This window comes from Homo sapiens, chromosome 9, assembly GCF_000001405.40.
Source record: "Homo sapiens chromosome 9, GRCh38.p14 Primary Assembly".
Taxonomy (NCBI): Eukaryota; Metazoa; Chordata; class Mammalia; order Primates; family Hominidae; genus Homo; species Homo sapiens.
Window position 1 is genome coordinate 63,405,760 of NC_000009.12, and position 17,426 is coordinate 63,423,185.

Sequence of the window (17,426 nt, forward strand, 5' to 3'; positions counted from 1 at the left end):
CATGTTATTAATCATTTAAAGATCATTTTGAAATCTTTGACCTTTATATTTTAATGAATAAAATATTAGTAGTTATTAGTATAAAATAATTTATGTCTTTTGGACTTAGCATCCAGTATTTCTTTTTTAATAAAGAAAATAATTATTCTCTTGCAATATACTGTGTTTACCTGGGTTTTGAAAAGTGATGTTTCCTAATATGAGAAAGCCATTTACATTTTTAAATCTACAAAGGCAAATGGAATGGTACTAAATTATTTATATAATAATGTTTAGATGGTGGCCCTTATAACATTCTTTCTATACTTCCTACAGAGTTGGGGATATGCAATCCTGGAATATTTCTGGGAGCTAATCCTTCAGCTTGATGAATGAAACAAGACTTTTAAATAAAATTAAACTTTCAAATTATCCAGGTAATGGGCCTGTCTTTTAATTCAATGGATATGGAGCATAATGAATTATCCCCTGTTCATTGGGTAATAAGTTCTCATTCTTAATTTATAATACTCAAAATATCCTTTAATTTTTAATTTTTGATAGTCATATCATTATCCCTAGGTATTTTAGCTTCTATCTTAAATTCTAAAATAATTTTGAGACAGGAGAAAGTATTCTTTATTACTATATGTATTAAACATCATGGTTTTCAAATTTAACTGCAAATGTATCTTTTCATTGCTTCTTGGTGATGCCCTTCACCCTATCCATATTGTCACTACCAAGTGGTGATTACTTTTCAGGTTCACATACTTATTCTTTAGAAAAATCTTCTCTGTGCCTTATAAAGAATATGATTGTTGGCATTGAAAAGCCAGTGAAATATACATTATTAGCCTGTTGCCTAACTCATTTATTTAAGAAACTACACTAATTACCCACATACTTATGTTTTTATTTACTCATTATTTCTGGAGAAAACAAATACTGCTAACATGATATTTGTAAGAGAGAAAAAAGTCTTTTCTTGAAAAGTGCTGTCATTGTAGTACTAACTTATAGTATCAACTTCTTTATCAACTCCTTATACACTTTTTATTCTGAGAGAAATAAAAAAGCTAAAAGTGAAATGACTTTGTAACTCTCCATATTATAAGCACCCATCTTGGTAATTTAGGGTCTTTATAGTTAGGGTAAGTTGTGTCATACCGAGGTTACAAAATAAAAAGTATTTTGTCTCTTTGGGCCTTTCCTTATTCAGTAATACTGTCAGTTTGGCTTTTTTTGTAGGTCAACTTATTGAACTCAGTATTCTGAAATAATGTGTTTACTATCTTTTGATAAGCATTTAAAATATTAGATTTATTGTTACTCTTCTGCCTTCATTGGGCTGGAAGAATAATTGTTTCACTCCACAAAAGCCAAGTTGCAGAGAAAAACACATAGACATTCAACTGCAAAGCAGAGAAACTTGACTATTTTCTGCAATTTTAAAGTGTATATTGAATAAAACCATCTTTTTATTTTCTTTTTTGCTCACTGGCAAATATTAACAACATCAAGTGCGTTATTATAATGTTATCTAGTTAAAAATCTCAAAAAGTTTTCATAATTACCATTTAAAAATATATAAATAAGTGACCTAATGTTAATTTTTATTGTCTGAGACCATGTCTGTTATTTCACTCTTTAAATTCAGTTAGTAATGCAGAACCTAGCACTTAGTAGATACTCAAAAATTATTTGCTGAATAAAAAAAGGTTAAACATGTAATATACACAAAATGTACTGGAAAAAATGCACCAAACAATTTTGTTATACCAGTTTAATGTAAATATTGTCTTTAAAAGATAATATAGTTTTCAGGTGTCTACAGTGATTTTGTAATATTTGTGCACATATAAAGTAATATTTCCAAAAATGTAATCCAGTGGGGAAATATACTTTCTAAATTCTAGATTTATAATTTAGGGTTTAAATTATAAAATCATTAAATAACACACAAGTGAAATATAGTCAAATATCCCCTTGGAAAAAAATTAAGTGGCCTCTAAAGTGAGGTATTCATATATGTAATTTTACAATCCTCTAGTGATAGAATTAATTAAATATGCCACCAAATTGATTAATTCCTACAGTGTTAAAAGAGAAGCACTAACAATGCCAGTGACCATGTAACATGGATTTAAGCTACAAGTCATAGAAATGTGATGAGAAGCCTCAGCACTGTAAAACTGAGGGTGGAGGAAAGCTTTTCCTCTCTCAAATGAGCTTTGCGAGGTATACTTCTTGAAGGATAGGAAGTTGAAGTGTTCAGGACTTTTATGTCTATTCTACTTTGGCTTAGTTTACATGATTCTTAGTTTATTAGCCTAGAAATGGCCAAGAAAACTTAAGGCTCAATAGTTAGTTATAAATATGAAATATCCCCAATTTTCAAGATAAAACAACTTATAAATGTATTTGTAAAAATTGTGTATATTTTTACAGAACATCTATTTCTTTCTTTATTTTTTTATTTTTTTTATACTTTAAATTCTAGGGTACACATGAACAATGTGCAGGTTTGTTGCATATGTATACGTGTGCCATGTTGGTGTGCTGCACCCATTAACTCATCATTTATGTTAGGCATATCTCCTAATGCTATCTCTCCCCCCTCCCCCCACCCCACAACAGGCCCTGGTGTGTGATGTTCCCCTTCCTGTGTCCAAGTGTTCTCATTGTTCAATTCCCACCTATGAGTGAGAACATGCGGTGTTTGGTTTTTTGTCCTTGTGATAGTTTGCTGAGAATGATGGTTTCCAGCTTCATCCATGTCCCTAGTAAGGACATGAACTCATCATTTTTTATGGCTGCATAGTATTCCATGGTGTATAATGAACCTGAAACGGGAAAGGGCGAGATTAACTAAGCCTGTTTGCCATGGACAGCAATGGGGTTGCTAGAAGATTAGCTGTGTGGAAAAATTATGCATTTACCTTTGGGCATAATAAAATGCAATTGACTCTCCATATTCATGGGTTCTGCATCCACCGATTCAAACAACTGTGGAACAAAATTGTCAGAAAAAACAATACAATGATAAAAAATGATACAAATAAAAAACAACATGGTATACCAACTATTTACATAGCATTTACATCGTATTAATTGTTATTAAGTAATCTAGAGATGATTTAAAGTATATAGGAGGATGTGTGCAGGTTATATGCAAATACTACACTATTTTATACCAGTAACTTGAGCATCCATAGATTTTGGTATACAAGGGGGATCCTGGAACCAATTCCCCATGCATATCAAAGGATGACTGTATGAGTTATCTGTAAAATGGTTTGGTTGAAATGTTTAGAAAACAGCTAGAAATACAAGACTGGCTGTTGGATGAAAAAAACATAGGACTAGGAAATTCAGGTATGCTAGTCTTTTTGAGTATTGCTTAAAGCCATGGGAAAAGAGCTCTCTGTGAGTTCCAAGACAGATGCAAGGACTGGCATTCATGCACAGCTTCTAACAGATAAATCTGAAGAGTTCTTAGTATGCATGTTGACTGAAATTACTTTAGAAGTAATTTTTCTCCTGGTGATAAAAGGCATGTAAGGCTATTTTAGGAAATTGAAAAATGCAAAAAGTATAAAGAAAAAGAAAAGATAATCATTAATAGTACGTTAGTAAACAAGACTTGACTAAAGATATGACTTTCCTCCCGCTTGTTTTCTTATGCATATAAAGGGATAGGAAATATGTATGTATGTATGTGTGTGTATAGGATCATGCACTATATATAGCTTGCTTCTTTTTCCATTATGATAATTTTCCCATGTCATGAATTACGGCTTGCAAGTGCTTATTCTTAAAGGGCTGCATTATTTTTCATTATTTGGATTTATTGTTATTTAATTGGAGCTCTATTATTGAACATTTAGATTGCTTCCAAAATTTTTTGCTCTTGTTAATATATTGTAATAAACTTCTGTGAAACACATACTCTTCACCTGCTACTTACATATGACTTCTGTAAGCAGAGACCTCTGTATCCCCAGGACCTAGAAGGTTACCCGGACATAGTAGTTGCTTAATTAAAAAAAATTATTGATTGAATGAAAGAAGACTATTAAATGTTCAGTTCTTCTTTTTTTATTCTGATTCCCTGTGTATCCAGGGGCCTCTTATTTGGCTGCATGTATGAGTTTGGCTGTAATGAAAGTATTGGCCGTATATGACCATAAACAGGCATTCCTATTTCTGTCACAGTTATATTTGTCATTCTGTATTAATACATCTATATCCTGATTTCTATTGAAGCATGGTTAATTTTGTTTGCTTCTAAGCAATGTAGCTACCCTGTTGATGCTGATAAAAATAAATTTCTGAACCTATAAGACTGAGGATTGGGCCTAGGTTGTAGTAAATTGGCAAGATAATGGATGCTACCCTGTCAAGAGTCCTCTGAAGAGAAAAGTCTGCCACCCTTCACCAGGTAGAAACTCCAGGCAGTGCCACATTTTCCAGTTTGACGCCCTGTGATACCCTGAAAAGACAGATGTTTGACTCTTTTCAAATAATATTTTAACATATTTTAAGACGCAAAGGCATTGTGTCGGACTTTTTTCTTAAGAATATATTTCATTACCACTCAGAAGTTAGTTTCCAAAAGAAATAAGTGTGTGCAAAGGTTTATGATAGTGGTGTAGAGAAGTTTTTAAAATAAATGTGCATCTTTTATGGTAATAAAAGCACATTACGAAGAATTTTTTAGGTCCAGTTCACAGATTCCTTGTGCCTGGGGAAAACTTTATTAGAAAATTAGATAATTTCTAATTTGATTAGGGGAAGTCTAATGGGAAAACTTTTTAACTGAGCGGTCCAATTTGAAACATGAATATCTGTGCTGGAAGCTTCTATTGAACTTTACTTAAGTCACATCTGAGACCCTCTGCCTGTCAGTCCACCATTACCCTAACAGTGGTAGAAATTCTTTATATGACACCTAGATCTTTTTTTGTTGCACTTTTAAGCTGTGTAGGAAACACACTGCCCACATGTTCATACAACACAGAGTGATTATCCACTTAGTTCCTAAAAAGTTGTGTTTGGTTATGGGATTTGATCCCACTTGTCCAGGGTTCAGGTCAGCTACTGAAGATTAGGATATCTGGGTACCTCTTACTGGAGAATCCATTCCTGTTTTCATTTCATTCCTGGGGGCAATATTCAATCTGGTGTGGCCCTCTGTATTATAAAATGTTTCCCAGATTGTGTTTATCTGAAATACAAATCCAAGAAGAAGCATGGTGTTAATTGCCATGTAAAAAAGATTCCAGAGTCAAGAGCTTGAGAAGTTCTATTCCTTCCTTCATAGGTTCAGTTGTTTAACTCAGCATTTTTCAAACATATTTTACTCCTAGAACCTGTTTTTCCTCAGACATATTTAAGAAAAAAGCATTTTGTAGAACACATTTGGACAAATGATACTTTATATCATTGCTTTGTTTTTTAAATTTTAGTTTGACTCAATTTTACAGTTTCAGGATTTTGTTTCTGTTTCAGGTTTTAAGCTTTTCTTTTATAAATAGTTACTTTCCTAGTCTGAAATCTATACATTGTTTCAGTAATGAATTCATTATGTAAATTTGCCCATCATTCATCTAAAGGGAATAAACATTAAATTGTTTTTTTAAATTTTGACTTGTGTCACATGAGAATATAAAGTATATCTGTACAATAAAGGAAAATGAAACATCAAAGTATCTACCTCAGGTTAAGAAGCAGAACTTGGCTGGGCATGGTGGCTCACACCTGTAATCCCAGCACTTTGGGAGGCAGAAGTGGGAAGATCACTTGAAGCCAGGAGTTGGAGACCAGCTTGTTCAATAAAGGAAGACCTCATCTCTAACAACAACCACAACAGCAAAAAACTAGCCAGGCACGGTGACACATGCTTATAGTCCCAGCTACTGGTGCAGCCTCGAACTCCTGGTCTCAAGCCATCTTCCCACCTCAGCCTCATGTTGTAGTGAACTTTGTTATGCAGTGTCTCCTATTCTACTTGTGCAGGAGTATTTTTCCTGTATGTACCTGGAGTGGAATTGCTTGGTCATTGGGCATGTGTGTGTTCAGCTCTATTGAGTGGCATCATACTGTTCTCCAAGGCAGTTGTACCAATCTACACCCTCACCAGCAGTGAATAGTCTTCCCATTGTTCTTCCTCAATGAAACTAGATATTCACAGCCTTTTAGGTTTTTCCTAGAGTATGAAGTGGTATCTCTTTGGGGTTTTAATGTTTATTTCCCTGATTAGAATTGTAGTTGAGCATCTTTTATTGTGTTTATGGGCCATTTATGTTTTCTCTTCTGTGAAATTCCTATACGGGTTTTTTGCTCATTTTAAATGTTGTTGTTTGTGTTTTTCTTATATAGGAATTCTTCACGCATTCAAGATGCACGTATGTTGTTCAGAATAGTACCTGAGACATAGAAACAACTTTGTAAGAATAGCTATCATTACATTACCATTGTATTTAATCTTTTGTTTTTATGTGTTACAATTATCTTCTGCTAATTTGTGGCTTATTTTTCATTCTGTAATGCTAATTTTTTAACCTAGTATTCTATTATTTTAAAAATACACAATCTTGAGTAGTCTACATGTTCATAACCATGACATATTCATGTTGCATATGTTCTGTGTCATAACCCAGAACTTTCTTTTTTTTTTTTTTTTTTTTTGAGATGGAGTTTTGCTTTTGTCACCCAGGCTGCAGTGCAATGGCGTGATCTTGGCTCACTGCAACCTCTGCCTCCTGGGTTCAAGAGATTCTCCTGCCTCAGCCTCCCGAGTAGCTGGGATTACAGGCACCTGCCACCATGCCCAGCTAATTTTTGTATTTTTAGTAATGGTGTTGTTTCGCCATGTTGGCCAGGCTGGTCTCGAAATCCTGACCTCAGGTTATCTGCCCACCTTGGCCTCCCAAAGTGTTGAGATTACAGGCATGAGTAGCTGCACCCGGCCAACTTTCAATCTTAAGTACCATTTTTTGCTGCTGTTTCTTTTTTTGAACCCCAGGAAAAAATTAACTCATTTAATCCCCTATTCAAACTGCTACAATTTTATTTTCAGTGTTGTCGCCTGGTTGTAGATGCATTTGTCTCTCCAAATGCACTGTGATTATTTCGAAGACAAAACATTTTTGGCATTGTGATATATATATATATATATATATATATGTATATATGTATGTAATATATATGTATGTATATATGTATATAATATAGTATAAATATTTATGTTTTATATATCATATAAAATTTATATATAAAAATTATATATATATATATATATAAATGCCACTTATCCCTAATATAGGGACTCGATTAGTTTCTGCTAGTGTGGAGACAAGTCATATCATGGCTAGGGGCCATGATGGTAGGAGCAGTCAGAGGATTTCTTGCATTGTGATGAGTGCCTATAAGTTAAATGAGCCACTTATCAGTAGATTTGATAGCAGGATAATAGTTATATCACTGATACCTAGGCAGTACATGACACTCGGTAAAGAATAGATTAATCCTCGTGCTCTTCATCTTCCTCCTAATCTCTTTACCTGTGCTGCCCTCCAGCTTTCAAAGTGCTCTGAGTCATCACTTACACAGTGTTCCTTAGCTGCCCCTTCAGTGAGCCAGTGTTTCTGTGCCCCAGTGTTCCTGAGAGTTAGAACACAGAAAACAGAGCAGGCTCTTGCCCACATCACAGAACATCTTTGTCTCCCTGTGGATCCCGCACATTTGTTCATTAGAGCTCAGGAATTGCCAGAGACTGGCTTTTGTGGCAATGGACACTAGATTCTTCAGAAGAATATTGGTTGAAATCTTCCTGCTGTGACAATTCCCTGCATGCAGGGCAGGAGTGTGTGCTTCTTCCCAGCAAAGGCAGAGGCAGGGCCTACAGAAACTGTGCCCGCAGCCTATAGTGATGGGGTCTATGAGGTAATTCAGGCAGATAAGGCAGGTGAGTTCTTTCTGGAAGGCTTGTGGGAAGTCTAAGTCCATTTTTCTGAGGGAAGAAAACCAGAAGAATTTATTCTTATGCCACAGAGAGGCAAAGATCTACACAAAGTTTGAATCAGGTTTTGAGTAGGATTCGCTCACAGGTTTAAATCTATAGCAGGATACGATTTTATTTTGCACATAACAAAAATGAAAAACTGAGGCATAGAATTCAAGCTTTGCAGAAAAATGTGTTGGCTCCCTAACCAACACACACACACACACACACACACACACACACACACACACACACACACACCTACTTTCCAAATTCTTTCCTCCTGTATGAAAAAAACTTAAGGCTGGGCACAGTGGCTCATGCTTGTAATCCAGCACTTTGGGAGGCTGAGGCAGCAGGATTGCTTGATCCAAGGAGTCCAAGACCAGCCTGGGCAACATGATGAGACCCTGTCTCTACAAAAAGAAAAGGAGAAAAAAATTAGCTGAGCATGCCAATAGTCCCAGCTACTAGGGAGGCTGAGGTGAGAGGATTACTTGAGCCTAGGAGGTCAAGGCGGCAGTGAGCCATAATCCAGCCACTACACTCTAGCCTGAATGACAGAGCAAGACTCTGTCTCAGAAATGAACAAAGAAAGAAAAAGAGAGAGAGAGAGGGAGGGAAGGAGGAAGGAAGGAAGGAAGGAAGGAAGGAAGGAAGGAAGGAAGGAAGGAAGAAAAGGAAGGAAGGAAGTTTACAGAGGTTTTTGAGGTGTTAGTGTTCCCTAAATTGTATGGTCTTCAGAGGTTTACCCTCCTATAGCTTCAAGGGGTGAGTCCTGACTGGTAGGAAAATCAATCACACTCTTACTTGCCAGTGATTCATTTAGGGAAGACAGCTAACTAAGCTCTTCCACTTTGATTATTTCATTTAATTGTAACAACCATCTTATTATGACTTCTTCAAAATTACCCTGCCAGTAAGTGTTGGAGGACTCCCCAGAAGCAGAAACCACCATGCTTCCTGTATAGCCTACGGAACCATGAGCCAACTAAAGGTGTTTCTCAGGTATTTCTTTATATCTTTGGCCAAAATTAAAGAGTTAGGCTTTACTCTCCAAGATACTGCAATGGACAAAAACAAGCCACCACTGTTTTCTAATGTTGTTTTCTTGTTAATTCAATCAACAAGTATTTTCTGGTAAGTTTAGTGTTCCAGAGACTGGTAACCTGGTGATGCACCAGTTAATAAAACATCCTTAAGAGAAATAAAAGTTGAAAAATGAACCAGATGATAAAATGCAGTAGTGTACACAATGCCACTTATCCACAGGTCTTCTGTGTGTCACCCATGATCCAGAAAATGTCTTTAGTATAAGCCATTGATAAAGATGCCTGAAAAATTTACGTATAGAAGACATAGTCACAAAATTATTTTTTTCCTTTGATATCCCTTGTTACTTCAAACAGAATTTACCACTCCAATTCGATTTCTGAATACATGGGAGTTAATAGAATACTCCTAATCCATTTATAGGATCTACACTAAGTAAAAAATTTAAAGACATCTGAAAACTATTTTGTGAGTCCTTATAATCCATATCAACAATCATGGAATATATTAAGTAATAGACCAAAAATTAATCATCATATTAACCAAAAACACATAGCAAGACAACTAAATATTTTCATTTGGAAATTGGGAAATTTAGTCAATTTTAAAACTCAGCAAATGAGATCATTTCACAGAAGCAACCTAGGTTTGCTGGTAAATTAAAATTATGACATTTTGTTTTGGTTTGGGAGGGTAGTTCCTCTTCTGTAAATTGTGTACTCACATAAGAAATATATCTATGTTCTCACGGACACTTGCTGTAGAGGTAATAATATGAAGTTAGCTCAGGGATCAGGGCCTCACAGTGCAGTGCTGGTAGTTTTTTTTTTTTGTTGTTTTTTGTTTTTTTTTGCCCTGCACCTTGAGTAAAAGTTTCCTGAGGCCTCCCCGGAAGCAGAAACCACCATGCTTCCTGTATAGCCTATGGAACTGTGAGCCAACTAAAGGTATTTCTCATGTATTTCTTTATAGGAATGCAAGAGCGTACTAATACAGCTAAGCAGAGGCCATCAGGACCAGCAAAAGTCTGAGCTGGATGAGAGACAAAGCTAAACTTTGAGCAGCAGCAGGAGCTGCCAGGGATTACAGAAAGGAAGGACTGACTCCTAAATTCCAGGATGTCTCCTTTAAGTCTGTAAGAAGCTCAGCCACTGTCTCCTTACCTGACTCCTCTGGGAAAGAGTTTCCCTAGGTTAAACCATACAGGGATAGGGTAGGAGATGCCATTTGGATCTAGGAGCAGAGGGCAGAGACTCAGCAGGAAGAGTGTCTCTTTGAGAAGGATACACAGTGGAGCAGGTGTGTAGGTTCACAGGGCCAGCTATGGGTAGAGTCGGGTGTACATTTTTAGAAGCCACAATTCCCAAAAATCTCCTGACTATAAGATCAGTGCACAGAGCCAGTCAAATGGAGGAGGAGTGGGTCCAGGCAATTCAGGAAGAAGGAAAGTAACAAATGAGTGGTTGCAGGAGGACACTTTTTCTGTCGAGGTCACTAAACAAAACATTGTCTCCTCCCCTTAACTTCAGAAACAATGGAGGGTAAAAGTGTTGCCTGGGCCCTGGGGGCAAAGGCAGTAGATAACTTCTCTGTCGTGTTCTCCAGAAGGGCCCATTCCAGCCTCACAGGCCGAGAAGTCTGTTCGGTTCCCAAGTACTAGAGATGCTGCTATAAGGGACTCCTGAATTTCCTTCCTGAACCAGAGGCTGCCCAGCCTTTTCTTCCTGTTTTATTTTTTCCCAGGAAGAAACTTGCCTGTACAATTACAAGGTTCTACGGTTCTAAATTCCAATCTAGTCTTCCACATCATTTTGAAGGTATAATATTACTTGTCAAAGTGGGATGATAGAAGATATGTGTGGACATAAATTGTTGACAAGGAAAAAAACTAAAATCAGAAAATAAGAAAAAATATATGTATGTACAGTGGTTAGCTAGAAATGTGCCTTTTAAATATTTGGCATGTGGTATGTGTGCCTCAATGTGTACTATTGCACTAGCTTCCCAAATATTAAAGGATGTCTTTTAAAAGAAAAACCTCTTGCTAAAAGGTTAACAGTTAAAATAACCAGAGTGGCACAGGTACCAGTCATTAAGTGAAACCTTTCATCTTCCCAGAATAGTACCTGTTCCCAAGCCAGCTTCTTTGAAAATCACTTTTCTCTCCTTTACTATTTAGTTTACAGATTGTATAGTAACAATACAGAAACCACAATAGTAGCAAAAAAAATAAAGAATATTTTTAAATGAAAACTCACATCCTAACTCTACCAAAACATGAAAATTAAACCTGAATGCCTCCCATTCCTGATATATTTTCACCTAAATATTCAGCTCTGGGATTGCATTGTTTTTGGATTGAGTGGAAATTATTGCCTGGTCTTGAAATCTTCCATAATGTGTGTGTGTGTGTGTGTGTGTGCGTGTGTGCATGTGTGTGTGTGTATATGTATGTATGTGTGGTGAATATATTTCTTTTTGTTCGGAGCAAAGATTTTTTCAATATGTATATTTATTTTAGGCAGATTATGCTAGTAATTTTCTACAAATGTGCTTTTTAAAAAATAACCTTTAATTTAAAAAAAATTATTCTTACTCAGTGGCCCACAATTGTTAAAAACGCTACTAATGGAGCTGGGTATGGTGACACACACCTGTCATCCCAGCTACTTGGGAGACTGAGGCAGGGGTATTGCTTAAACTTGGGAATGTGAAACCAGCCTGGGCAACATAGTGAGATCCCAATCTCAAAAATCAATCATTAAAAAATAAAATAAAATAAAACACTACTAATAGCTTTTTAAAAAATAGTTCTTAACCAATTTTCCTAGCACCTTCCTTTCCTCAGTGAAGTATAGAAATATGTGGTCAGTCACTGTGGCTCACACCTATAATCCCAATAATTTGGGAAGCCAAGGCATGAGGATCAGTTGATTCCAGGAGTTCAAGACTAGCCAGGGTGACATAATGAGACTTGGTCTCTAACGAAATTTTTTTTTCTTTAATTACCAGGGCATGAGGGTGCATGCCTGTAGCCCAGCTACTTGGAAGGCTGAGGTAGGAGAATCACTTGAGCCCAGGAGGTGAAGGCTGCAGTGAGCCATGGTTGCACCACTGCACTCCATACCTGGGTGACAGAGTGAGACACAGTAACAAAAACAAACAACAACAAAAAGTATTTGTTTTAGAAAAAACATTTGGTGAGATTTGGGCTTAAAAATATATTATTCTAAAATATTCATAAATATTCTCTAGTAATGATAAGATTAAAGTGACAAAGACAAACTTTTTTCCTGTGCAGTTCCATCTCTCACCTTCCTGTAATTTGTCTGTCCCATCCAGCTTCCAAAGGAAATTATTTACAAAATAATGTCTGCATCCTGGGTCTATATATCTATTGCCTATGAGGAGAGCGTTTAAGATCTGAGCCATCTTCAAGTCTTATACTTTGTGTATAGCTCTCATGTTTTTGCAGGTTATGTAAGTTTGTATACCCTTTCTTTTATTAATCTGTGTATGGTCAGTTCATTTCCGGTAATCTTCAGAGGGTGAAAGGGGAAGCTTTTCACTTCACTCCTACTGTGACAACTAACTACCTTCTTACTTATTCAATTTTTTAGTCTATATCAACATTTTTATATACATTTACTTTTAAACAAAATTTTGCATCATTACACTTAAAATTTTATTTAACTTTTAAAAAGGAAATTAAAAATAAAATTAAAAATTATAAAATTTTACATAATAAAAATAAAATAAATGATTTATATAAAAATTAATCTGACCTGTGAAAAACACTGTCCAGAGGCCAGGTGCGGTGGCTAACGCTTGTAATCCCAGCACTTTGGGAGGCCGAGGTGGGTGGATCACGAGGTCAGGCGATCTAGACCACGATGAAACCCCTCTCTACCAAAAATACAAAAAATTAGCGGGGCGTAGTGGCGGGCGCCTGTAGTCCCAGCCACTCGTAGAGGCTGAGGCAGGAGAATGGCGTGAACCCGGGAGGCGGAGCTTGCAGTGAGCCGAGATCGTGCCACCGAAATCCAGCCTGGGTGACAGAGCCAGACTCTGTCAAAAAAAAAAAAAAAAGAAAGAAAAAAGAAAAACACTATCGAGAGAATAAAAAGACAAATCACAGACTGGGAGTAAAAATTTACAAAAGCTATATCTGGTGAAGATACATTTGTTATCCAAAATATGCAAAGAACTCTCAGGACTCAATAATAGGAAAACAAATAGTCTAACACAAATGTAGAGATCTGAACAGACATTTCACCATAGAATACAGATGGACGATACATAAGCACATCATTCATCATTAGGGAAATGTAAATTAAAACCACAATGAGATACTGTTACTTGCCTATTAGAATAGCTAAAATTTAAAAGACTGACCATACTAAACATTGGTGAGAACACAAAGGAACAGGAATGCTCATATACTGCTGCTGGAAATACAGCCACTTTGTCAGTTTCTTTAAAAGTTAAACTGGCTGGGAGCGGTGGCTCACGCCTGTAATCCCAGCACTTTGGGAGGCCAAGGCGGGCGGATCACGAGGTCAGGAAATCGAGACCATCCTAGCTAACACGGTGAAACCCCATATCTACTAAACATACAAAAAATTAGCCGGGCATGGTGGCGAGCACCTGTAATCCCAGCTACTCCGGAAGCTGAGGCAGGAGAATGGCGTGAACCCGGGAGGTGGAGCTTGCAGTGAGCCGCGATGCACCACTGCACTCCAGCCTGGGCGACAGAGCGAGACTCCGTCTCAAAAAAAAAAAAAAAAAAAAAAGTTAAACATATCACACCACCTAGTCATTCAAATCCTGCTTATTTGCCCAAGACAAATGAAAGTGTATGTCCAAACGATTGGACAAACATTCGTAGCAACTTTATTTGAAATAGCAAAAACAACTGGAAGCAAACCAAATGTCCATCAAGAGGTGAATAGATACACTAACTGTAGAATATCCACACAATAAAACTATTTTTTTAAAAACTACGGGGCAAAAAACAAAAAACCAAAGATAGAATCTAATTTCTTGGTAAATACATTCACTATTAGGGTTTTTATAACAGAGAAGTCATTCTTTATTAACACTCTTTTGACTATGAAAATATTTTAACATCAAAAATCTGCAAAATATGAAGAAACAAAGGACACACAGCTTTTTCTATTTTTTATTTTTATTTTATTTTTATTTTTTTGAGAAGGAGTCTCTTTCTGTCACCCAGGCTGGAGTGCAGTGGCGCGATCTTAGTTCACTGCAAGCTGCGCCTCCCGGTTCACGCCATTCTCCTGCCTCAGTCTCCCGAATAGCTGGGACTACAGGCGCCCGCTACCAAGCCCGGCTAATTTTTTGTATTTTTAGTAGAGACGGGGTTTCACCGTTAGCCAGGATGGTCTCAATCTCCTGACCTCGTGATCTGCCCGCCTCGGCCTCTCAAAGTGCTGGGATTACAGGCGTGAGCCACCACCCCCGGCCCCAGGACACACAGCTTTAAAATTTCTCCTTGGTCTCACCCAGTGCCAACCACCTAAAACCTCTCATTTTCCCCCAGACATTTCTTCTGCCTCCAGGATGGAGGTAGAGAATCTTGGCCTTGGACCACGCACTGGGGACCATGCTGGGCTGCCGTGGACAGTGACGGACTCAGGTTCTCACCAGGATCCCCAAAATAGGCCCCTGAAAAAAATGTTACCATCAGGGTGCGCTCCCTGATTCTTGTGTCTGCTGGAAGGAGGAAATCAAGCCAGGAACATTGTCAGGATAGAGATGAAAATGGGGCTCACTTTTCTGTCTTTTGTGATGTCAGACAAGCCTTTCAGCTCTGTCTCTTCAGCCCTCATGGAATTGTTTGGTGTGGACGCACCGAGATTCTGAACTGGGTCCCCTTTCCCTCTGCCCTTCTCTGGGGCCAGATTCTGAGCTCTCCATTCCAATTTTTCCCCCAATTTGCCCTTGCATTTATTTATCTGGATTACTGTCTGCCTGTCCCAAAGAATAAAAGCTTTATCACAGTGGGGATTTTGTTTTAAAAAATAATAATAACAGCTATATTTTTAGGATCCATGACACTGTCCAGCATATCGGTGGTATCTGATAAAAAATGTTTGTTGACTGGATGAACAAATATATTATTCACAATTCACATTATCCTGAACTGGCTAGAAAATTAAATATCTGATATCAGTATTGGCAATATTATGAAGTAAATATAAGTCTGATACAGTGCTCGTGAAAGTCTAATATGCAATGCTCATTTTAGAAAACATTTTCTTGTAGATTTGAAAATGTTTCATCTCCATGAACTAGTTGTATATCTGCAAGTTGTGTATCTTTGGGTTAGGCAGAATAATTGCCCCCCACCAAAGACAGCCACATCCCAGTCTTCAGATAAGGTGAACATGCTAACGTAAGTTAGCATGTTCAAAGAGACTTGGCAGATGTGATTACCATTAAGGGCATTGAAATGGGGAAATTACCTTGAATTACCTTGGTGAGCCAGTCTAATCTCATAATTCCTTGAGAGCAGAGAATATTTTCTGGATGCTGAGATTCAGACAGATGGCAGTATGAGAAAGATGTGGCCTGCTATTACTGGCTTTTAAAACAGTGGTAGGGGGCCACAAGCCAAGAAAAGCCAGTGACCTTTAGAAGCTGGGAATGACCCAAAGTTTACAACCAGGAAGAAACTGAAGATCTACAACCACAAGGAACTGAATTCTGCCAACAACCCAGATGCTCTTTTAGAGCCTTCAGAAAGAAATGCAGCCTGCCAACATCTTGATGTTAGTTCAGTGAGAGCCATGCCAGATTTCCAACCAAAACAATTCTAAGACAATAAGTCTGTGTGTGTTTTTTAAAACTGACTCAAATCTTACAAAAATGTGTTCTTTTAAGCCACTGAATTTGTGGTAAATTGTTACAGCAGGAATAGAAAACTGATACAACCCTAGAGAAAGTCTTGTACATGTGCCCTATAAACACACAGCAGAATTTTTTTAACTTTTTATTGAGTTAAAAAATATATATATATAATTTACCATCTGTACATTTTTAGAGGACAGTTTAGTGGTGATAAATACATTTATATTTTCTTCTCTTAATCTCCTCTTCCCACTCCCCTTGCTGGCCTCTAGCAACCACCAATTTACTTTCTATCTTCATGAGATCCACTTTTTTACTGCCCACATATGAGTGACAACATGTGGTATTTGCCTTTCTGTGCTTGGCTCATTCCACTTAACATAATGGCCTATGTTCATTACGTTAAACCAAATGGCCAGTGCCACCTATGTTGCTGTGAATGACAGAATTTCATTCTTCTTTGTTTCTGAGTAGTATTGCATTATGTATATATATGACTTTTAAAATCTATTCATTTGTTGATGAGCACTTACGTTGATTCCATATTTTGTCTATTGTGAATAGTGCTGCAGTACACATCGGCATGTAGATATGTCTTTGATACATTAATTTCCTTTATTTTGGATATATATCCAGTAAAGAAATTGCTGGACCACATGGTAGTTCTATTTTTACTTTTTTGAGGAACCTCCATACTATTCTCCATAGTGGCTTTATTAATGTGGATTCCCACCAACAGTGTACTAGTATTTCCCTTTCTCCACATCCTTGCCAGCATCTGTTATTGCCTGTCTTTTTGAAACAAGTCATTTCAACCAAGGTGAGATGATATTGCATTGTGATTTTGATTTGCATTTCTTTGACGATTAGTGATACTGAATATTTTTTGTCTTCCTATTGGCCATTTGTTTGTCTTCTTTTGAGAAAATATCTGTTCAGATCTTTAGCCCATTTTTAAATTGTATTTATTTATATATTTTTAACTATTTTTTTTGAGAAGTAAGGTCTTGCTTTGTCACCCAAGCTAAAGGGCAGTAGCATAATCATAGCTCACTGTAACCTCAAACTCCTGGGATTAAGAAATCCTCCTGACCGGGCGCGGTGGCTCACGCCTGTATTCCCAGCAATTTGGGAGGCAGAGGTGGGCGGATCACGAGGTCAGGAGATCGAGACCATCCTGGCTAACACGGTGAAACCCCATCTCTACTAAAAATACAAAAAATCAGCCGGGCTTGGTGCCGGGCGCCTGTAGTCCCAGCTACTCAGGAGGCTGAGGCAGGAGAATGGCGTGAACCCCGGGGGAGCAGAGCCTGCAGTGAGCCGAGATCACGCCACTGCACTCCAACCTGGGCGACAGCGAGACTCCATCTCATTAAAAAAAAAAAAAAAAAAAAAAAAAGAAATCCTCCTACCTCAGCCTCTTCAGTAGCCCATTTTTCAATCAGATTTTTTGTTTGTTTATTATTGAGTTGTTTGAGCTCCTTATATATTCTACTTGTTAATCCTTTGTCAG

General features: G+C 37.3%; 1 long non-coding RNA gene across 4 annotated transcripts; it reads right to left on the reverse strand.

Moving 5' to 3' along the window:
• Positions 1-2,788: 2,788 nt before the first annotated feature.
• LOC105379442 (uncharacterized) lies at positions 2,789-15,613 on the reverse strand. 4 transcript variants are annotated; one of them, XR_007061542.1, is made up of 4 exons: positions 8,253-8,349; positions 5,107-5,209; positions 2,922-2,988; positions 2,789-2,825 (listed from the first exon to the last, which is right to left on the reverse strand). It is a non-coding gene; the product is annotated as an uncharacterized LOC105379442 (long non-coding RNA). The 4 variants fall into 4 exon arrangements; XR_007061543.1 differs by lacking the exons at positions 2,789-2,825; positions 2,922-2,988; positions 8,253-8,349 and adding exons at positions 4,145-4,474; positions 15,539-15,613; XR_950656.4 differs by lacking the exons at positions 2,789-2,825; positions 2,922-2,988; positions 8,253-8,349 and adding exons at positions 4,145-4,474; positions 15,529-15,610.
• Between the last annotated feature and the right edge of the window lie 1,813 nt (positions 15,614-17,426).